Source organism: Homo sapiens, chromosome 2 (assembly GCF_000001405.40).
Source record: "Homo sapiens chromosome 2, GRCh38.p14 Primary Assembly".
Taxonomy (NCBI): domain Eukaryota; kingdom Metazoa; phylum Chordata; class Mammalia; order Primates; family Hominidae; genus Homo; species Homo sapiens.
In genome coordinates, this window is record NC_000002.12 from 183,871,891 (window position 1) to 183,895,811 (window position 23,921).

Consider the following 23,921-nt stretch of genomic DNA (forward strand, 5'->3'; position numbering starts at 1 on the left):
TTCTCCATTTCAACATTTTCCTATTATATCTTGGTTAGGTCACTACAAAATGTACTATACATTATCTTTTTTATAATATAAAAACATCATATCTAATATCTAAAGAAATACACGTATAAGTAATAGTCTTCACCCAAGTCTTGCTTTCCTGTGCCAACCATGTCTAATTATCCTAGCTGTTTTCATCTTATAGTTCTCAAAATATTTCTGCATACTAGGATTCTAGTGCTCTTCTTAATTAATTTGGTTGTTTAGCTAAATATAATAATTTAAATTATGTAATTCTCCTACTTTCCCTCCCTCTCACTACCAATATATTTCCACCAGTTTTAGATTCTCATTTAATCTCTCTATCCAAGCACTATCTAAGCACTTTTATTTCATGTGTCACTATCTCAGGACAGGATCTCTGACAGTGCATTTTGCAGGAAGAGGCCACTATCATGATTATCTTCTGTAAGCACAAACACATATTAAAAATAAGAGGCTTAATTTTCCCCATTTAAAACAAGGAAGGATATTTCATGCCCTTCTGTTTACTAAGAGCATTTACTTTGGAAAACTTGTAATTATTTCTCCTCTCTTGGATATGTATAAACTTCCTTTTGAGGATAGTAGTTTTTCATCTTATGACTTAAGGATGTCTTTTGTGAAATGTTATCATAAAGGAAGATAGTGTCCCTATCTCACAGCTTCTGTGAGAGTGCTGGAGCCTAGCTTTCGTGGGTCTCTTGCTCCCAGTTTCAAAATTACCTCCTGCCATAGAGATATAAGATAGGATGCATTGTGTGTGACAAATGGTACTCTTAAGTCCTCTTACTTGAGGACTAGTTATTATTTATCTTGAAAGCTTGTGTGTAATGGAGTATATCTGCTTGGCTATACACACGGATGAAACTCTTTTCTGTCTCTGCAAATATCTGTTAGCAGATTTCCTATGATGCACATTGCATTCTGCTTCAGTGTTTATTCAATAATAAAAGTGGTTTCTTTCTTCACTATCTTTGTGGAGCGATTTCTGAGTTGGAATAAGAATTTGCTTTTCATTATATTTCCAAAATTTCCTACTGAGGTTTCCTTCCTCCTTCTACATAATTTTTGTCATTTATGAGCTTATCTCTGTACTGTGAAGGTTGACAACATTACCTTATCTTGATAATCATAATTAAGTCCTTTGTGTTTTGTATATTGGTTGAGTACTTTAGTCAGATCTTTAAACCGTGTCTTCATTATTGTGATTGTATAAATAATGTTCACAGAAAAGCACAGCTCACTGATTTTTCTTTGTGTTAAAAAAAATACTTACCTGGGATTAGTAGTTGCTATTTCCATTCTCCCTCACCTGCCATTTACTTTATTCATTCCCTTAGTTTTTCAAAGTCTACATTCAGTCCACTTTTCTGTCACCTTTTTCCTCTGTCTTCCCTTTAAGAGCCCCACATCCTTCTGTTCCAATTTGGGCTGCCAGCTCCATAGACCTGGTGCATGGCCATCAGCCTGGATCATGTCTTTTTTGTTCCACTCCATTCTCTCCTGTATCTCCCTCTTTTTGGTTTTCATGCTCATTTTTGCTGGGTTACACCTTTAGAAATGTTCTAAGTAAGCATGTCTGAAAGGTAAATCTCTTGAGTCCTTCATGTCTGAAAATATACTTATTCTAACCCAGCATTTACCCTATTTTTTGATTGTACGATTCTGAACTAAATTTTTTTTCCTTAGATCTCTGAAAGTATTGCCCCATCATATTGTATCCAATGTTTCTGCCTGGATGGATATTCTCCTTTGTAGTTAATTTTTTAAAAATTATTTTTGAAAGGTTTTACGATCTTTTAATAATCCTTTGGGTTCTGAACTTTTCCTACTGATTGACTAGAAGTGGTCATATTTTTTCCATTTGTTTGCTAGATTTAATAAGGACTCTTATTTTGGAGACAAATGCTTCGGCTTTGAAATATGTTGTGTGTACATATGTATGTGTGTGTTTGACAATTTCCTCTACTCAGTGTACTCATCTCTTTTCAGAACTCATATTACATATCATGTTATTGGATCTCCTAGATTGATCATTTATCATCAGTTTCCCTAATTTTGATGGTTTGTATGTATGTATATATGCTTTCTAAAATATTTTTGACTTACTTTTCCAACTCTTGTGTAGAATTTTTATTTTGGAAAATGCACTTTTATTAAGAGCTCAGTTTTAGTCACCAAGTTTTCTTTTTTATAGCATCCTTTTCTTTATGGATTTTCTCAATGATCTCTGAGGATACTAGAGTTTATGAAGTTCTGTTTTCTCCTGATATTACCTCAATTTCTATTCATTTTTTCTTTCTCTTTCATTTTGGAGAATTTTATGATAGTCTGATGTCCATTCACTTTTAAGATTAAGTCATTAACAAGTTGTTCAGTGTTTCTGGGTACAAAGAAGAGATTTAAAAATGTCAGGCTTCACTTTAGATTGTAGAGTAAAAACCAGCTATTGAAATAGCTACATCTCAATGTTGGAGTAGAATCTTTGCTCTGTAGTCCCTCAGTTCCCCTAGAGAAGAGATAGGTCTACCATGGGTTTCAGGTGTATGATACTCAACATTATGAATGGGGATAGAGGTGGGAGTATAAGTGAGGGAGGTAATTTTTCAATATAGAAATTTATTTAACAACATTGTTTTTAAATTCCATATATATACCTTCTGGTTTGCATGACATTTATAAATTGCAAGCCTTTCCTGGGACTGATTCAATCCATATCTCAGTTGTCTTCTCCCTGTACTCTAGTTTGTGGCATTCTCTATTCTGCCCCAATTACCTCTCCCCCATCTGCTTTCTCTTTTCTAAATATATACTGCTATATCTTATCAGACAAGGAATAGTCAGTCACCAGCTCTTTCCATTGTTGCAGATTTAGATCAGTTTTATTTCTTTAGTTTCACTGCCATAGTTTCATAAGAAAATAATATAATGTATGTAATCAGTATCCCATTGTAAACCTAAAGTCATCCTAATTTCTTCTTTATAGTTTCAACAAAAATAAAGTTAGCAATTAAAATCATCTGTCTCTTCAACAAGAAGATATTTCATACTTTAAAAACAAACAGATAACAATAAAAATACTTGCTCTAAGAAAAACATTGTATCTAATAAACAGAACTAAGGTTTTGGCTGATGTCTCAAGAGATTTTTAGGGACTTCACAAATATACTCCCTTGGTACTTACTAATGCAGAATAAATGTAGTTTTCTTGTGTTTCACATTTATAATTATTCTCTCCCTCCTAAAAAACAATACTTGTTTGTTTCTTAGGCCACTTTTCCCTTGAGTTACTTCAGGGCTAGGGTCATGTAATTCATTTTTATATCACCAATGTTTATCACACATTATAATTTTATGGAGACATTGAGTAAATACTTGTGTTTCACTTGTCCATTTCATGACATTTGCTTAGTGGAATGGGATCATAGGAAAAAATATCATAATCTTTCACCATCATGGTGCCTCCCCTCTCATTTGAAAGGCATACTGACTTAGTAAATTTAATTACAAGTTCTTATAATGGAAAATAATTCTGTCACGTTTGATACACAAAATATGAAAACATCAAATCCTCCTCATTTACACCATATACCTCTGGATGTTTATCACTAAATGTACCATAATGCTTTTCTCATGTTGATTAGATAGGATATCTGCAAAATCTGGTATTTCTAGGCAAATCCAATTAATTGTACTGGTTCTTAGTGTGTCATCAGAGCTATCAGGTTATTCACCACATCAACTCCAACAGAAAAATGCTCATTTATCTTACTGTGTGTAGGAAGAGAGAGATTAATAGCTATTGCATGGTAAAATAATGAAGATAAAGGCACTTTTAGAAGGATAGTGATATAAAAATGAATGACATGACCCTAGCCCCGAAGTAACTCAAGAGATAAGTGGCCTAAGAAATGAAGAAGTATTGTTTTTCAAGAGGGAGAGAATAATTATAAGTGTGAAATGCAAGAAAACTACATTTATTCTGCAGTAGTAAGTACCGAGAGAGTATATTTGTGAAGTCCTTAAAAATCTATGGAGACATCAGCCAAAACTTTAGCTCTGTTTATTAGATACAATGTTCTTGGAGCAAGTTTTTTTTATTGTTGTTATCTGTTTGTTTTTAAAGTATGAAATATCTCCTTGTTGAAGAGACAGGTGATTTTAATTGCTAACTTTATTTTTGTTGAAACTATAAAGAAGAAATTTTTAGGTTCAGTAGACTGAGTTTAGAGCTATAGAAGAGAGAACATATACATTAAACAATGAGTTCTCACAGCACAATAGAGGGACTGTGATTATGAAAACAGTTGGAAGTGTAGGCCACAAACAGGAAGCAGTACATCTGTCCTCAAACTCTGGAGGACAAGGACCAGAGAATTTTGCTAAAATTAGGCAGTTATTTGGAGGGAGTAAGAAGTTTGAAAATTCATACCTGGAAGACTACACTTTGGAGATGTAATCCAGTAAGCAGAAGAACATTAGAAAAATAGTTCAAATCAGAACTTTGGTGCTTCACCTACATTTGAGAGTTGTTGAGTCATATGTAAGCAACAACCAAGTAGAAGGAGCAGCTAGGGAATGAGTTGTCTTCTAGTGCAACCAGTAAGTTTGATTTCAGATTAGACATTCTACCTACTGGAGGAGGACAGTCAATATGAGAACATGATTTACCACTGGCTTATCAGAATAACTGACCTGAGTTCTTGGTTTGATGATTGGCAGCATTTTGGAAATAGGCTATGGAAAATCATCAATTAAATATGGTTGAAATGACACAATTATGTAATGAGAACAAAATGCTTTTCTTTGTGTGAATATTTGGCATAATACAAATACAGCATAAGTCAGTGATACCCAAGGCTATGGCATTCATGCCTGCAGCTGAAAACAGAGGACACTCTTTATTCGTTTGTTTTATAAGGACTCACCCTGTTTTCATGCAATTGTATGTACATATAACACTCAGTGTATATAATTTTATCTTTGATTCGAATTATTGGTCTGATTCTTTTCTGATTGCTACTAGAGAACTTTAAAATTTCTAAATTTTTGCTTAAAAATTTAAATCTCTGTTTAAAGGGAGACATTATGCTTTGAATTTTAATGGAACTTATAGCTCTGCTTTTAGATAAAATCCATTTATTAATTAGGATGAAATAACCTAATGACAACAAAATGATAACTTGAGAGATAATCTTTTTACTTTACCTTACTAAAACAGAGCACATCACTATCAGTGATCTTCCTGTCAATCTAGCTGAAGGCCTATCTATCTTGGAATCCAGGCTTTATCCCTGATTTTATTGACTAACTCACTTTTTTAAAAAATTAAATTAATTTTTAAAATTTTTATTTTATATTTCCATAGGTTTTTGGGAACAGGTGGTGTCTGGTTATGTGAATAAGTTCTTTAGTGGTGAGTTTTGAGATTTTGGTGTACCCATCACCCAAACAGTATACACTCTACCTGATTTGTAGTCTTTTATCCCTCGCCACCCTCCTACCCTTTCCCCGCAAGTCCCCAAAGTCCATTGCATCATTCTTATGCCTTTGCATCCTCAGAGCTTAGCTTCCACTTATGAGTGAGAACATATGGTGTTTGGTTTTCCATTCCTGAATTACTTCATTTGAATAATGGTCTCTAATACCATTTGGGTTGCTGTGAATGCCTTTATTTAGTTCCTTTTTATGGCTGAGTAGTATTTCATGGTGTGTGTGTGTGTGTGTGTGTGTGTGTGTGTGTGTGTGCATATCACAATTTCTTTATCCATTCATTGATTGATGGGCATTTGGGCTGGTTCGATATTTTTGCAACTGCAAATCGTGCTGCTGTAAACATGCCTGTGGAAGTATCTTTTTTTGTATGACTTCTTATCCTCTGGGTAGATACCCAGTAATGGGATTACTGGATCAAATAGTAGTTCTACTTTTAGTTCTTTAAGGAATCTCCACACTGTTTTTCCTAGTGGTTGTACTAGTTTACATTATCACCAGCAGTGTAAAAGTGTTCCCTTTTCACCACATCTACACCTACATCTATTATTTTTTGATTTTGTAATTATGGATATTCTTTCAGGAGTAAGGTGGTATCTCATTCTGGTTTTGACTTGCATTTCCCTGATCATTAGTGATGCTGAATGTTTTTCATATGTTTGTTGGCCATTTGTATATCTTCTTTTGAGACTTGTCTATTCATGTCCCTAGCCCACTTTTTGATGAGACTGTTTGTAATTTCTTGCTAATTTGTTTGAGTTCCTTGTAGATTCCGGATATTAGTCCTTTGTCAGATGTATAGATTTCAAAGACTTTTTCCAACCCTATGGGTTGTCTGCTTACTCTGCTGATTGTTTCTTTTGCTGTGCAGAAGCTTTTTAGTTTAATTAAATCCTATCTATGTGTCTTTGTTAATGTTGAATTTGCTTTGGGGTTCTTGGTCAAAATTCTCTGCCTAAGCCAATGTCTAGAAGAGTTTTTCCAATGTTTTCTTCTAGAATTTTCATGGTTTCAGATCTTAGATTTAAATCCTTGATCCATCTTGAGTTGATTTTTGTATAAGGTGAGAGATGACGATCCAATTTTATACTTCCACATGTGACTTGCCAATTATCTTGACACTATTTGTTGAATAGGATGTCCTTTTCCCACTTTCTATTTTTGTTCACCTTGTCAAAGATCAGTTGACTATAAGTATTTGGCTTATTTCTGGGTTCTCTATTCCGTCCTGTTGGTCTATGTGCCCATTTTCATACCAGTATCATGCTGTTTTGGTGACTATGGCCTTATAGTATAGTTTGATGTCAGGTAATGTGATGCCTCCAGATTTGTTATTTTTGCTTAGTCTTGTTTTGGCTAGGCAGGCTCTTTTTTGGTTCCATATGAATTTTATGATTGCTTTTTCTAGTTCTGTAAGAATGATGGTGGTATTTTGGTGGGAATTGCATTGAATTCGTAGATTGCTTTTGGCAGTATTGTCATTTTCACAATACTGATTCTATCCATCCATGAGCATGGGATATGTTTCCACTTGTTTGTGTCATCTATGATTTCTTTCAGCAGTGTTTTGTAGTTTTCCTTGTAGAGCTCTTGCACCTTCTTGGTAATGTATATTCCTAAGTATTTTATGATTTTTTTTGCAGCTATTGTAAAAGGGGTTGCGTTCTTGATTTGATTCTCAGCTTGGTCACTGTTGGTGTATAGGAGAACCACTGATTTGTGTATGTTAATTTTGTATCCTGAAACTTTCCTGAATTCATTTATCAGTTATCAGAGGTTTTAGGGGAGTCTTTACTGGTTTTTTAAGTATTCAATCATATTATTAGCAAATAGTGACGGTTTGACTTCCTCTTTACCAATTTGGGTGCTCTTTATTTTTTTTCTCTTGTCTGATTGCTCTGGCTAGGAATTCTAGTACTATGTTGAGTAGAAGTGGGGAGAGTGGCAACCTTGTCTTGTTCCAGTTCTCAGGGGAAACGATTTCAACCTTTCCCCATTCTGTATTATGTTGGCTGTGGTTTTGTCATAGATGGCTTTTATTACATTAAGGTATATCCTTTGTATGTCAATTTTGCTGAGGGTTTTAATCATAAAGGGATGTTGGATTTTGACAAATGCTTTTTCTGTGACTATTGAGATGATCATAAAAGGAGCCCTCAAAACCGTGGAAATTAAATAACATGCTCCTGAATTATTGTTGGTTCCACAATGAAATCAAGCTGGAAATAAAAAAAAATTATTTGAGCTGAACGATAATAGAGACACAACCCATCCAAACCTCTGGGATACAGCAAAGGTAGTGCTAAGGGGAAAGTTCAGAGCATTGAATACCTACATCAGAAAGTCTGAAAGAGCACAAAGAGACAATCTAAGGTCACACCTCAAGAAAATAGAGAAACAAGAACAAACTAAACCCAACCCCAGCAGAAGAAAAGAAATATCAAAGATCAGAGCTGAACTAAATAAAATTGAAAAAAAAAAAACTACAAAAGATATATGAAACAAAACCTGGTTCTTTGAAAATATAAATAAAATTGATAGATGATTAGCGAGTTTAACCAAGAAAAGAAGAGAGAAGATCCAAATAAGCTCAATTAGAACTGAAATGGGAGATATTACAACAAATAACACAGAAATACAAAAGATCACTCAAAGCTACTGTGAACACCTTTATGCACATAAACTAGAAAACCTAGAGGAGATGTATAAACTCCTGGAAATATACAAACCTCTTAGATTAAATTAAGAAGAATAGAAAATCTGAACAGACCAATAGCAAGCAGCAAGATTAAAATTGTAATAAAAATAATTGCCAGTGAAAGACAAGTCCAGGACCAGATGGATTCACAGCTGCATTTTATCAGACATGCAAATAAGAATTAATGCCAATACTACTGACACTATTCTACAAGATAAAGAGGAAATCCTCCCTAAATCATTCTATGAAGCCAGTACCACCTTCATACCAAAACCAGGAAAGGACATAACAAAAAAAGAAAATTACAGACTAATATCCCTGATGAATATAGATTCAAAAATCCTTAACAAAATACTAGGTAACTGAATCCAACAGCATATCAAAACTATAATCCACCATGATCAACTGGGTTTCATATCAGGCATACAGGCATGTTTTAACATCCACAAGTCAATAAATGTGAGATACCACATAAACAGAATTAAAAACAAAAATCATCTATTAAGTAACCATTGTTCCCTTTACACAATCCACCATCTGTTTGATCTTTTCTTTTTTAATACTTATTAACAAGCATTGTTCAAAAGCATGTCAACAAACACTAAGCTTATTCTTAACAATCACAACTCTGCTCTTTAAATTTTCTCCATGGATCCACCATTTTCCTTGCCTTTAGTATGCTTCTTTTTTCTTTAGTTTGTTATATTTGATTATAGTAACCTAGAAGTTATTTATCTATGGGAATTATAATGCTAAAAAATAGTGCTAATACATAGAAAAAATATAGTCAAATCTGGCTGTATAGATTAACAGGCCATATATTTCTAAAAAAATTAAAATTAGCATCATTTTTATCACGTATTTTGAAGTAGTCTAAAAATCAGTTCTTAGAACCAGAATTCCAAAATTTTCATAAAGATGATATAGTACATATATTTTACTTAATTTCCCTCCTCCAAGTCATCTGAAATAAATGAAAAGACTAAAAAATATGAAACAGAAACATCATTATACCATAGACTGTGAAGAATGTTTATGAATGAAATTTAAACTAAATCACTGAAATTTGGCAAACTTCCACTTCCCACTACCATATATATTTCTCTAAAAGACAGTGAGAGAGGCCTGAAAAACAGTACATATGAGCATGCAAAAAAGAAGAAGAAAAAAGAAAGAAGTGTAAGTGCTGTGGTATAGACAGACCACCAGGAAAAAGACAAATAGCTTGGAGTTGATGTAGGGAGCACAAGAGGCAAAAATGTGAAACAGCCACACAGCCCCTAACCACAATTACCTAAGCAGAAAACTCTTAAAAATCATTAAAAACAAACCATTAAATCAAACCAAAACACCTATAGTGCCTGGGCTCCATGCTGGCCACAAGTGTGTAAGAGCTAAATTTTGAGGTGAAAATCTCTTAGGACTGCATTCTTCTGAAGACCAAGGACTTAAAAAAATGTAGTGACAAATCATGGGAAAATAATAAACCAAAATTGAGGCTCTATGTTTCACTTAGCACACCAGTTCTTTTCCTGACTCTAAGCAACTAAAAGACTCAGAAGTTGTTATAAACCAACAATATTGAGTCCTACAATTCAAATTCTAAATTTCAAAGATACACTTAAGACAGTTTCCAGTCATCAAGTCAATAATTCTCCACCCTTACTTTTTCTGGGAAATATTAGGTCTGGATGAAATTAATTATATGTAAAAATAAAGTATTCAATTCAAATCTATCTTTGAATAATTTTAAGACACTAAAGGAAATGAATACAATAAGCAAAATATAGATCTCTGAAACATAATCTGGAAATGTATTGCCCCAGAAAAATACACATATTATTTAAAATATTAATAATATATTAAAAACCATCTTAAAGAAATTAAAAGGAATATGAACTTTCAGAAATAAGAGATCAATTTAGAGATACAAAGGTAATCAAAGAGAAGATAACACAGAGGAGATGACAAAATTGGGAGAAAAAATGAGATAATTTGGAAGAAAATAAACAATTTAAGAATAGAAACATAATTAGAGACCGTAAAAAGCAGGGTTACTATAATGGACAAAATTTCCTTTAGAGTTTTTGTTTTGTCTTCAAAGAATAATGATATAGGAAAATACAATTTTATTTATATCTGATTATATGTCACAGTCTGACAATAATTATCTCTAGGTTACAGTATATGTATAACATATTTTATTCATTTCACAGTTTTTATATTTTCCAAATTTTAAAAAGACAATATATCTGATAAGAAAAATGCAATGACAAAATTTTCTTTTTCTCTTTCAACTTCTATTTTAGAATCGGGGGGTACATGTGCAGGTTTGTTACAAAGGTATGTTGCATGATGCTGAGGTTTGGGGTGTGACTGAACCCATCATCCATATAGTGAACACAGTACCCAGTAGGTAGTTTTTCAGCCCTTTCCCCACTTTAGTGGTCTCCAGTGTCTATATCCATGTGTACCCAATGTTTAGTTCCCACTTATAAATGAGAAAACTTGGTACTTGGTTTTCTGTTTCTATGTTAGTTAGCTTAGGATAATGTCCTTCATTGCATCCATGTTGCTGCAAAGGTCATGATTTCATTCTTGTTATGACTGTGTAGTAGTCCATATATTTATGTACTACATTTTCCTTATCCATTCACCATTGATGGACATCTATGTTGATTCCATTTCTTTGTAATTGTGAATAGCTCAGCGATTAATACTCAGGTGCATTTGTCCTTTTGGTAGAATGATTTATTTTCCTGTGTGTATATACTCAGTAATGGGATTGCTGGGTCAAGTTGTAATTCAGCTCTATGTTCTCTGAGAAATCTTCAAACTGCTTTCAATAGTAGCTGGACAAATTTAGATTCCTACCAACAGTGTGTAAATGTTCCCTTTTCTGCACAGCTTCGCCAACATTTTTTTTTACTTTTTATTTTTTTCTTTTAAATACTTTTGTTGAGATATAATTTACAGACCATACAATCCATTCAAAGTGTATAATTCAGTGGTTTCCAATATACTCACAAATATACGTGTAACCACCACCATAGTCAACTTTAAGGCATTTCATTACCTCAAAAAGATACCCCATACCTTTTAACTATCACCTCCCCCAATCCCCTATCTGCCCTGCCCAAAGTCACCACTTTCTGTCTCTATAGATTTCCCTATTCTGGACTTCCATGTGAAGAGAATCACAGACTCCAAACTACTTTCAATAGTAGCTGGACAAATTTACATTTCTACAAACAGTGTGTAAATGTTCCCTTTTCCGCACAGCCTTGCTAACATCTTGTATGACTTTTTAACAAAAGCCATTCTGACTGGTGTGAGATGGTAAGTTTCTCATTGTGGTTTTGATTTGCATTTCTCTGATGATTATTGATGATGAGCATTTTTTCATATGTTTGTTCCCTTCTTGTATGTCTTATTTTGAGAAGTTCCTGTTCATTTTCTTTGCCCACTTTTTAATGGGGCTATTTTTTTTTGTTGTTGATTTGTGTACATTCCTTATAGATTCTGGATATTAGACCTAATAAAATGCATAGTTTTCAAATATTTTTCTCCCATTTTGTCAGTTGATGGAAATTTGAAAAATATAAAGTTTGATAGAAAACGAGGTAAAAATTTTTCCAGAAAAGTTGGTAGAAAAGTTTAAAAATGAATAATCAGTATAAACACAATTGATATTTGTGAAGAATAGTATAGAAAAAATGGAACAAGTTTCAAAAAGCAAATTTAGAAGGCACCTTATACAAAAGAAGAAAAATCAGCACATAGAAAATTTATAGATCAGTAAAATAATTAGAAAAAAAATTGAGATTATAATATATTCTGGAAAATGGGCTAAAGTTAAAGGATAAAGAATTCTAAAAGCATTCAGGCAGAAATATTTCATCTACTATGTGAGAAAAATATCCTATTGCTCTTACATTTCTCTTGAATAATGCTGAATACAGAAAGACAAGCTGTGTCATCTAATGAAGTGTTTATAAAAAGAATATGGTCATGTATAGCTTCATTTTTAATATAAACCTTATTAAATATGTAGCAAAATGCACCAGTTTATAGTTTTATCAATTTTGACAAATGTACACACTTGTATCATTACCATTCTAATCAATATATAAAACATTTCCTTCATGCCAGTTTCCCTATGAGTCTTAGCAGACACCACCCCCAGTCCCGAGGCAATCACTGCCTTATTTTTACAACTATAGATTAGTTTTGTGTATTATAGACTTTCTATGAAATCATACAGCATGTAGCCTTCTGTTTCTGATTCTCCACCCCCTCCATTATTTTTTTGAAATTTAAATACATCATTGATTGCATAGTTCCTTTTTATTGCTGAATAAGAATCTAATTTGCAGGTATACTACAATTATTCTATAATTCTGTGATGGATATTTGGATTGTTTGCAGTTTTTAAGTATTATGAGCAAAGCCGCTAGAAATAATTGACATTTTATATGGACATAATTTTTCACCTCGTGTAAAAACTCAAGAATGTGATTGATGAATTTTATAATGAATGCATATTTAACTTTAGCAAGTTTTTTGCTGAAAAAAAGCAAGTTTTTGTAAGTGGTTATTATATACTTCTACCTGCAGTGTTTGAGAGTTCTAGGTGATCCATGTCCCCATCAATACTTGGTATTGTCAATAAGGTTAATCTAACAAATACATAACAAAACCTATATCCTGTGATAAAGAACATCCTTCTATTTGTGCCACCTTAGAGCTTTCAGGGTAATTGATCATATTAGGTTACAAAATTGTTAGTAAATTTTGCATTGCTACACAAATGAAAATAAAAACAAAAGTAGACATAAAATTAATTCATGACTCAGAAGTTGAAAAACAAATTCCTAAGTGGTTCTGAGAGCAATGAATAAGATGATAATATTCTGAAAATCTGTAAGAGTAATAATTTAAAATACAACATCTTAAAACTATGAGAATTTTTTAATGCAGAAATAAGTTAAAAATGTAAATCCTTTAACTTCTGCATATCTACACAGGAACAAAAGAGCAAAACTAGATTAATTAAATATTCACCCAAGAAATTAGAAAAACAAAACAGAAAATAAATCTGATGGAAGGTGAAAGTAAAATTAAATAAATCCAAAAATGTATTTTCAAATACACAAAACAATTACATGCACAAATTAACAAAGGAAATCAACAATTTTTTGAGAAAAAATGAAAATAGGGATTAATAAAAGGAAATAATGAGATATAGAAAAATATAAGAATTGTATTTTTACAATATAATCCCCTAGAAAAATTGGACACTTATAAAGGAAAATACTGATGACATTCTTCAGCTCTGTGTTCCCACTCGAATCTCATTTTGATTTGTAATTCCTATAATCCCCACATGTCAAGGTAAAAGCAGGCTGCCCAAGCCAGCAGCGGCAACCTGCTTGGGTCCCCTTCCACACTGTGGAAGCTTTGTTCTTTCGCTCTTCACAATAAATCTTGCTGCTGCTCACTCTCTGGGTCTGTGCCACCTTTATGAGCTGTAACACTCACAGCGAAGGTCTGCAGCTTCACTCCTGAAGCCAGCAAGACCACCAGCACACTGGGAGGGACAAACAACTCTGGATGGGAGGAATGAACAACTCCAGACGTGCCGCCTTTAAAAGCTGTAACACTCACCATGAAGGTCTGCAGCTTCACTCCTGAAGTGAGCGAGACCATGAACCCATCAGAAGGAAGAAACTCCGGACATGTCCAAACATCAGAAGGAAAAAAGTCCGGACACGCCATCTTTAAGAACTGTAACACTCACTGTGAGGGTCCGCGGCTTCATTCTTGAAGTCAGCAAGACCAAGAACCCACCAATTCCAGACACATTTTGGCAGCCATGAAGGGACTATCACCAAGCGGTAAGACTATCGCCTATCGCCAAGCAGTAAGTACTATCGGACCCCTTTTGCTTGCTATTCTGTCCTATTTTTCCTTAGAATTCAGGGGTTAAATACTGGGCACCTGTTGGCCAGTTAAAAGAGACTAGTGCAGTTGACAGACTAAAGACATGGGTGTCAGGCTTTCTGGGAAAGGGCTCTCTAACAACCCCCGACTCTTCATAATTGGGAGCATTGGTTTGCCTTGAACCAGCTTCCACTTTTCCTGTACTTCTGGGCTGAGCCGAGGTTAACAGAGAGGAAAGGCATTCAGCTCCGGGGTCCCGACAACAAGTTGGTTGACCCTGCGGCCATGAGTGGAACTCTCAAAGGCATGTCACCCAAGTGAGACTTGCCCATCCCTTGTCCCCTGGGTCCTAACGACTGCCAGACAAACTTCCTCTCACTTCTCTTCTCTGAGGCAATCCCACTTCTAAAAACCACTCCCTGTCTCTGGTTCTTTTCTAGTTTCTCCTATAAGAATAATTTCTAGTATAAACTCCAGGACTCTATTCCCTTCTTTAGGCAACCGGGCTCACAAATCAGAAAGACATAATTTTGACCCAAAGACCTGTCGTAGGGGCGACTATCTGGAATTTTAGGATCCTTCCTCAGACAAGCAGGCCTAACAAAAGCTATTCCTGAAGCTAAGATATGGGGAGCCTCAGAAATTGTATCCTTCCTATTCATATAAGTGAGGACAAAAGGCATCACTCTTCCAACTCTGGAGATCCCTTCCCTCCCCCAGGGCATGGGCCTCCACTTCATTTTGGGGGCATAACATCTTTATAGGACAGGGGTAAGGTCCCAATACTAACAGAAGAATGCTTAGGATTCTAACAGATATTTGAGAATGTGTTGGTAAGGGCCACTAAATCCGATTTTTGTCAGTCCTCCTTGTGGTCTAGGAGGACAGGCAAGGGTGCAGGTTTTCGAGAATGCGTTGGTAAGGGCCACTAAATCTGACCTTCCTTGGTCCTCCTTGTGGTCTGGGAGGAAAACTAGTGTTTCTGCTGCTGCATTGGTAAGCACAACTATTCTGATCAGCAGGGTCCAGGGACCATTGCGGGTTCTTGGGCATGGGGAGAAACAAAACAAACCAAAACCATGGATGGTTTTGTCTTTCAGATGGGAAACACTCAGGCATCAACAGGCTCACCCTTGAAATGCATCCTAAGCCTTTGGGACCAATTTGACCCGCAAACCCTGAAAAAGAGGCAGCTCATTTTTTTCTGCACTATGGCCTGGTCCCAATATTCTCTCTCTGAAGGGGAAAAATGGCCACTTGAGGGAAGTATAAATTATAATACTATCCTGCTGCTTGACTTTTTCTGTAAGAGGGAAGGCAAATGGAGTGAAATACCGTATGTCCAAGCTTTCTTTTCATTGAAGAAGAATACACAACTATGCAAAGCTTGCAATTTACATCCCACAGGAGGACCTTCCCCAGCTTACTCCCATATCCTAGCCTCCCTATAGCTCCCCTTCCTATTAAAGATAATCCTCCTCAAATCTCTCCCACCAAGAAGGAAATAAGCAAAGAAATTTCCAAAAGACCACAAAAACCCCCAGGCTATCAGTTATGTCCCCTTCAAGCTATAGGGGGAGGGGAATTTGGCCCAACCCGGGTACATGTCCCTTTCTCCCTCTCTGATTTAAAGCAGATCAAGGCAGACCTGGGGAAGTTTTCAGATGATCCTGATAGGTACATAGATGTCCTACAGGGTCTAGGGCAAACCTTTGACCTTGCTTGGAGAGATGTCATGCTACTGTTAGATCAAACTCTGGCCTTTAATGAAAAGAATGTGGCTGTAGCTGCAGCCTGAGAGTTTGAAGATACCTGATATCTTAGTCAAGTAAATGATAGAATGGCAGCTGAAGAAAGGGATAAATTCCCTACTGGTCAGCAAGCCATCCCCAGTATGGATCCCCACTGGGACCTTGACTCAGACCATGGGGACTGGAGTCATAAACATCTGTTGACTTGTGTTCTAGAAGGACTAAGGAGAATTAGGAAAAAACCCATGAATTATTCAATGATGTCCACCATAACTCAGGGAAAGGAATAAAATCCTTCTGCCTTCCTTGAGTGGCTATGGGATGCCTTAAGAATATATACTCCCCTGTCACCCAAATCACTCGAGGGTCAATTGATTATAAAAGATAAGTTTATTACCCAATTTGCTGCAGATATTGGGAAAAAGCACCAAAAGCAAGCCCTGGTCCCTGAACAAAATTTGGAGGCATTATTAAACCTGGCAACCTCGGTGTTCTATAATAGGGACCAAGAGGAACAGGCCAAAAAGGAAAACCGAGATCAGGGAAAGGCCACAGCCTTAGTCATGGCCCTCAGACAAACAAACCTTGGTGGTTCACAGAGGACAGAAAATGGAGCAGGTCAATTACCCAGTAGGGCTTGTTATCAGTGTAGTTTACAAGGACACTTTAAAAAAGATTGTCCAAGGAGAAACAAGCCACCCCCTCGTCCATGTCCACTATGCCAAGGCAATCAATGGAAGGTGCACTGCCCCAGAGGACAAAGGTTCTCTGGGTCAGAAGCCCCCAACCAGAGGATCCAACAACAGGATCCAACAAAAGGGTGCCTGGGCCAAGCACCAGCTCATGTCATCACTCTCACTGAGCCCCAGGTATGCTTAACCACTGAGGGTCAGGAAATTGACTTCCTCCTGGACACTGGCACAGCCTTCTCAGTGGTAATCTCCTGTCCTGGATGACTGTCCTCAAGGTCCGTTACCATCCGAGGAATCCTGGGACAGCCTGTAACCAGGTATTTCTCTCAACACCTCTATTGAAATTGGGAGACTTTGCTCTTTTCACATGCCTTTCTTGTTATGCCTGAAAGTCCCACACCCTTATTAGGGAGGGATATATTAGCCAAAGCTGGAGCTATTATCTACATGAATATGGGGAACAAGTTACCCGTTTGTTGTCCCCTACCTGAGGAAGGAACCAACCCTGAAGTCTGGGCATTGGAAGGACAATTTGGAAGGGCAAAAATTGCCCACCCAGTCCAAATCAGCCTAAAAGATCCCACCACTTTTCCTTACCAAAGGCAATATCCCTAAAGCCTGAAGCTCATAAAGGATTACAGGATATTGTTAAACATTTAAAAGCCAAGGCTTATTAAGGAAATGCAGCAGCCCTGCAACACTCCAATTCTAGGAGTATAAAAACCAAACGGTCAGTGGAAACTAGTGCAAGATCTTGGACTCATCAATGAGTCAGTAATTCCTCTATATCCAGTTGTACCCAACCCCTATACCCTGCTCTCTCAAATACCAGAGGAAACAGAATGGTTCACTGTTCTGGACCTCAAGGATGCCTTCTTCTATATTCCCCTGCACTCTGACTCCCAGTTTCTCTTTGCCTTTGAGAATCCCACAGACCACACATCCCAACTTACATGGACGGTCTTGCCCTAAGGGTTAGGGATAGCCCTCAACTGTTTTGTCAGGCACTGGCCCAAGATCTAGGCCACTTCTCAAGTCAAGGCATTCCGGTCCTTCAGTATGTGGATGATTTACTTTAGGCTACCAGTTTGGAAGCCTCATGCCAGCAGGCTACTCTAGATCTCTTGAACTTTCTAGCTAATCAAGGGTACAAGGTGTCTAGGTCGAAGGCCCAGCTTTGCCTACAGCAGGTCAAATATCCAGGCCTAATCTTAGACAGAGGAACCAGGGACCTCAGCAAGGAATGAATACAGCCTATACTGGCTTATCCTCACCCCAAGACATTAAAACAGTTGTGGGGGTTCCTTGGAATCACCGCTTTTGCCCAGTATGGATCCCCAGATGCAGCAAGATAGCCAAGTCCCTCTATACTCTAATCAAGGAGACCCAGAGAGCAAATACTCATCTAGTAGAATGGGAACCAGAGGCAGAAACAGCCTTCAAAACCTTAAAGCAGGCCCTAGTACAAGCTCCAACTTTAAGCCTTCCCACAGGAGAAAACTTCTCTTTATATGTCACAGAAAGAGCAGGGATAGCTCTTGGAGTCCTTACTCAGACTCGTGGGACAACCCCACAACCTGTGACATACCTAAGTAAGCAAATTGATGTAATAGAAAAGGGTGGCCTCACTGTTTATGGGTAGTTGCAGCAGTGGCTGTCTTAGTGTCAGAGGCTATCAAAATAATACAAGGAAAGGATCTCACTGTCTGGACTACTTATGATGTAAATGGCATACTAGGTGCCAAAGGAAGTTTATGGCTATCAGACAACTGCCTACTTAGATACCAGGTGCTATTCCTTGAGGGACTGGTGCTTCAAATACATATGTGTGTGGCCCTCAACCCTGCCACTTTTCTCCCAGAGGATGGGGAACCAATGAAATGTGACTGCCAACAAATTATAGTCCAGACTTATGCCACCCAAGATGATCTCTTAGAAGTCCCCTTAGCTAATCCTGACCTTAACCTATATACTGATGGAAGTTCATTTGTAGAGAATGGGATACGAAGGGCAGGTTATGCCATAGTTAGTGATGTAACCATACTTGAAAGTAAGCCTCTTCCCCCAGGGACCAGTGCCCAGTTAGCAGAACTAGTGGCACTTACCCGAGCCTTAGAACTGGGAAAGGGAAAAGAATAAATGTGTATACAGATAGAAAGTATGCTTGTCTAATCCTACATGCCCATGCTGCAATATGGAAAGAAAGGGAGTTCCTAACCTTTGGGGGAACCCCCATTAAATACCACAAGGAAATTATAGACTTATTGCAAGCAGTGCAAAAATCCAAAGAGGTGGCCATCTTACACTGCCGAAGCCATCAAAAAGGAGAAGGAGAGAGGAGAACAGCAGCATAAGCGGCTGGCAGAGGCAGAGACAGACCAGCAGAGAGAAAGAGGAGACAAAGTCAAAGAAGGAAAGAGAGAAAGAGAAATAAAGTCAGAGAGAGAAAGAGAGAGAGAGAGGAAGTGACAGAGAGAGTCAGAAAGAGAGAGACAAAGAAGAAGTCAAAGAGAAAGAGAGATAGAAGTAGTACCTATAATTGATAATTGAAGGCCTTCTCTGTAACCCTATAACACTCCAATACCACCTTGTTGCCAGTGTAAACAAGGGCGTAGCCCAAAAGCACTGAGGCCACTGACAACCCATAGCCTTCCTATGAAAAATCCTTAACCCAGCAGGTTTCCCAACAGAGGATCTAAATCTTAATTAATTACCATACAAAGTTCCGACCAGATCTAGGAGGAACTCCCTTCAGGACAGGATGATAGATGGTTCCTCCTGGGTGATTAAGGGAAAAAGACACAGTGGGTATTCAGTAAGTGATAAGGAAACTCTTGTAGAAGCAGTTAGGAAAATTGCCTAATAATTGGTCTGCTCAAACGTGCGAGTTGTTTGCACTCAGCCAAATCTTAAAGTTCTTACTGAATCAGGAAGGAGACATCTATACCAATTTTAAGTTAATATGGACTGAACAAGGTCTTATTAATAGCAAAGAATAATTGAAATCCCAAACTTACAAGGTTTTCAACAAAGTAAAGTTTGCTAAAAAAGTTAACAGTGTAACATGTATTATCCTAACTTCTAATCTTGTGGAAATCAGACCTTATCAGTACCCCTCAAAGCTCAAGTCCATCAGCGCAGAGCCATACAACTAATACCCCTACTTATAGGGTTAGGAATGGCTACTGCTACAGGAACCAGAATAGCTGGTTTATCTACTTCATTATCCTACTACCACACACTCTCAAAGGATTTCTCAGACAGTTTGCAGGAATAACAAAATCTATCCTTGCTTTACAATCCCAAATAGACTCTTTGGCAGCAGTGACTCTCCAAAACCGCTGAGGCCTAGACCTCCTCACTGCTGAGAAAAGAGGACTCTGCAACTTCTTAGGGGAAGAGTGTTGTTTTTACACTAAACAGTCAGGGATAGTATGAGATGCTGCCCAGTATTTACAGGAAAAGGCTTCTGAAATCAGACAATGTCTTTCAAACTCTTTTACCAACCTCTGGAGTTGGGCAACATGGCTTTTCCCCTTTCTAGGTCCCGTGGCAGCCATCTTGCTGTTATTCCTCTTTGGACCCTGTATTTTTAATCTCCTTGTCGAATTTGTTTCCTCTAGAATCGAGGCCATCAAGCTACAGATGATCTTACAAATGGAACCTCAAATGACCTCAACTAACAACTTCTACCAAGGACCCCTGGACTGACCCACTGGCCCTTCCACTGGCCTAAATCATTCCCCTCTGGAGAACACTACAACTGCAGGGCCCCTTCTTCACCCCTATCCAGCAGGAAGTAGCTAGAGTGGTCATTGGCCAAATTCCCAATAGCAGTTGGGGTGTCCTGTTTAGAGGGGGGATTGAGAGGTGACAACGGCTAGCAGTCCTCACTTACTCTCGGCACCTCCTCGGCCTTGGCATCCACTCTGGCTGTGCTTGAGGAGCCCTTCAGCCTGCCGCTTCCCTGTGGGAGCCACTCTCTGGGCTGGCCGAGGCTGGAGCCGACTCCCTCTGCTTGCGGGGAGGTGTGGAGGGAGAGGCGTGGGAGGGAATCGGGGCTGTGCGCAGCACTCACGGGCCAGTGTGAGTTCCGGGTGGGCGCAGGCTTGCCGGGCCCCACACTTGGAGTGGCCGGCCGGCACCACTGGCCCCAGGCAGTGAGGGTCTTAGCACCTGGGCCAGCAGCTGCAGAGGGTACGCCGGGTCCCCCAGCACTGCTGGCCCGCCTGTGCCATGCTCGAATTCTCGCCGGGCCTCAGCCACCTCCCCATGGGGCAGGGCTCAGGACCAGCAGCCCACCATGCCTGAGCCCCCCACCCATGGGCGTGGGCTCCCGCACGGCCCGAGCCTCCCGAACAGGTGCTGCCTCCTGCTCCATGGCACCCAGTCCCATCGACTGCCCAAGGGCTGAGGAGTGCAGGCATGCGGCGTGGGACTGGCGGGCAGCTCTGCCCATGGCCCTGGTGCAGGATCCATTAGGTGAAGCCAGCTGGTCTCCTGAGTTGGGTGGGGACTTGGAGAACTTTTATGTCTAGCTAGAGGATTGTAAATGCACTAATCAGCACTCCATGTCTAGCTAAAAGATTCTAAATTCACCAATCAGCACTCTGTGTCTAGCTAAAAGTTTGTAAACACACCAATCTGTGCTCTGTGTTTAGCTAATCTAGTGGGGACTTGGAGAACTTTTGTGTCCAGCCAAAGGATTGTAAAGGCACCAATCAGTACTCTGTGTCTAGCTCAAGGTTTGTAAATGCACGAAGCAGCACCCTGTCAAAACAGACCAATCAGCTCTCTGTAAAATGGGCCAATCAGCATTCTGTAAAATGGACCAATCAGCAGGATGTGGGTGGGGTCAGATAAGGAAATAAAAGCAGGCTGCCCGAGCCAGCCTCAGCAACTCACTTGGGTCCCCTTCTGTGCTGTGGAAGCTTTGTTCTTTCGCTCTTCGTGCAATAAATCTTGCTGCTGCTCACTCTTTGGGTCCGGGCTGCATTTATGAGCTGTTAACACTCACCGCGAAGGTCTGCAGCTTCACTCCTGAAGCCAGCAAGACCATCAACCCATCTGGAGGGACAAACAACTCTGGATGGGAGGAACGAACAACTCCAGATGCGCTGCCTTTCAGAGCTGTAACATTCACTGTGAAGGTCTGCAGCTTCACTCCTGAAGTCAGCAAGACCATGAACCCATCAGAAGGAAGAAACTCCACACACGTCTGAACATCAGAAGGAACAAAGTCTGGACACGCCATCTTTAAGCACTGTAACACTCACCACGAGGGTCCACAGCTTCATTCTTGAAGTCAGCGAGACCAAGAACCCAACAATTCCGGACACAAAGGGAGAGACCTGGTGGGAGGTGACTGGATCATGGGGGTGGTTTCTCCCATGTTGTTCTCATAATAGTGACTGAGTTCTCACGAGATCTGATGGTTTCATAAGTTTGACAGTTCCCCCTTTACACACACCCTTTCTCCTGCCATCTTGTGAAGAAGGTGCCTGCTTCCCCTTCTGCCATGATTGTAAGTTTCCTGAGGCCTCCCCAGCTGTGCAGAACTATCAGTCAATTAAGCCTCTTTCTTTTGTAAATTACCCAGTCTCTGGGAAGTTCTTTATAGCAGTGTGAAAACACACTAATACAACCAGTTAACAAAATGGATTAAAGTACAATAGTGAAAAACACCAACATAATGATAGTCATAGGTTAATTGCTATTGCCAAAGAACCAGCCTCTACTACAAGTGTCAGTCTAACATATTTCAGAAGAGAATTCTTCCCTAAAGTTCAGTAAAATTCTACTTAAAAAATAATTACAAAGTGTAGAAAAAGGATCCGTTCCTTATTTCACAAAGCTAACATACCCCTGGCATTAAAATTCAAAAGATAGTACAAAACTAGAAATATGTAGAACAATGTCACTTAACGAATATTAAGACAAACTAAAATATTGTAAAGATGATGTATATATATTTTAAAAATATTTCATTTTAATTTATTTGAAATTTACTGGGAAGAAACAAAGGGAAATATTTGTATAATATATGAAAGAGGAACTTTTAAAAATTTGTCAAAAATAAAATTACCTGCCCAAAGTCACATGATTACTAAGTGGTCATAATTGCCCAGCTTCCTGAGCTTCTAATTTAGCGAGCTTTCTTTCTGTAGAAAGGATAATTGTCAGTCATCTGTTAAGAAGTAGCTATAAATATCCACCCATTAAAAATTTTAATTTTCTGTATATTACAATCAGGGAGTATATTTATGAAAAACATTAAAACCAGCTGAAATAATAAATGTCAAAATTATGTTCTGGTAGCTGCATTAATTGTATCCCCAGTCCTATCCAACTTCTGGGAAATAGATATGTGACCCTGAACTTTTCTAAGAATTGAATCCTAATGGACCTATGTTTTTCAAAAAAGTTCTTGGTGTTAAAAGGTACCAATGAATTATTTTGATGTATTTTCAACTTCACGAATTACATGTCTTTTAGCAAATCAATTATCATTTAGAGATAAAAATCCCGTTTGTACCAGGCTCATACTTTCTGCTACTTTTTAACACTTTCAGTTATTTGCTGGGACCATATGTCAACATCGTCTTTCTGTCACTCAGAGCCTTTTAAGCACCTATTTGCAAATAGCTTTATTTTTGGTGCTATTCAGAGTAAGTTAAAACTTAATGGATCTTGCATTTGAGGAGTTTAAAGCAGAAGATGGAACCATCACCTAGACAGAAAGTATTAGAAATTTAAGAGGGTAACAAGCTGTTCAGATACAAAAAACTCTTGCTTTTAACAAGATATAATATAGGTTTTCAGAACATTAGGCCATCGGTCTAATGCTTCAAAGTGGAGGAAAAAAAGATTTAGAATGCTTGTATTTCTGAATGTAAGCCAAATTGAACTTAAATGGGATTTTTTCCCCCTTATTTAAGTGTGTCCCAAACTATTTCAATCAGTGGCAGATCTAGACAACTATTCATTAGCTATTCTAAAAGTCTTTTAGAAATGATTACAAAGATTCCTTGAGATATGATTAGTAGGTAGAATATGCCTATTATGGTCACTGAGAGGGTAGATGGAATTCTGGGGAGCCTCACAGCTCTAGAGCTGTGTTTACTTCTTTCAGCACTGCCAAATCCATCCCTCTCCATGTGATCAGCAAATTGCCACTTGTGCCTTGCTCTGTACTTTCCTAAATTTGATAATAAGACTATTTCACTTCCAGCTGGGCTTTTTGAAGATTACTTAAAAATATTATTTCCTGAAAAAAGATCTTGCTATTTTTAACCACACAAATTTTCATACTTG

General features: G+C 38.0%; 1 long non-coding RNA gene across 1 annotated transcript; it reads left to right on the top strand.

Annotated features, from left to right (window-relative positions):
* The first annotated feature begins 13,760 nt into the window (after window positions 1-13,760).
* On the top strand, window positions 13,761-21,582 carry LOC124907918 (uncharacterized). Its single transcript, XR_007087333.1, has 2 exons — window positions 13,761-14,144; window positions 20,231-21,582. It is a non-coding gene; the product is annotated as an uncharacterized LOC124907918 (long non-coding RNA).
* Window positions 21,583-23,921: the final 2,339 nt, after the last annotated feature.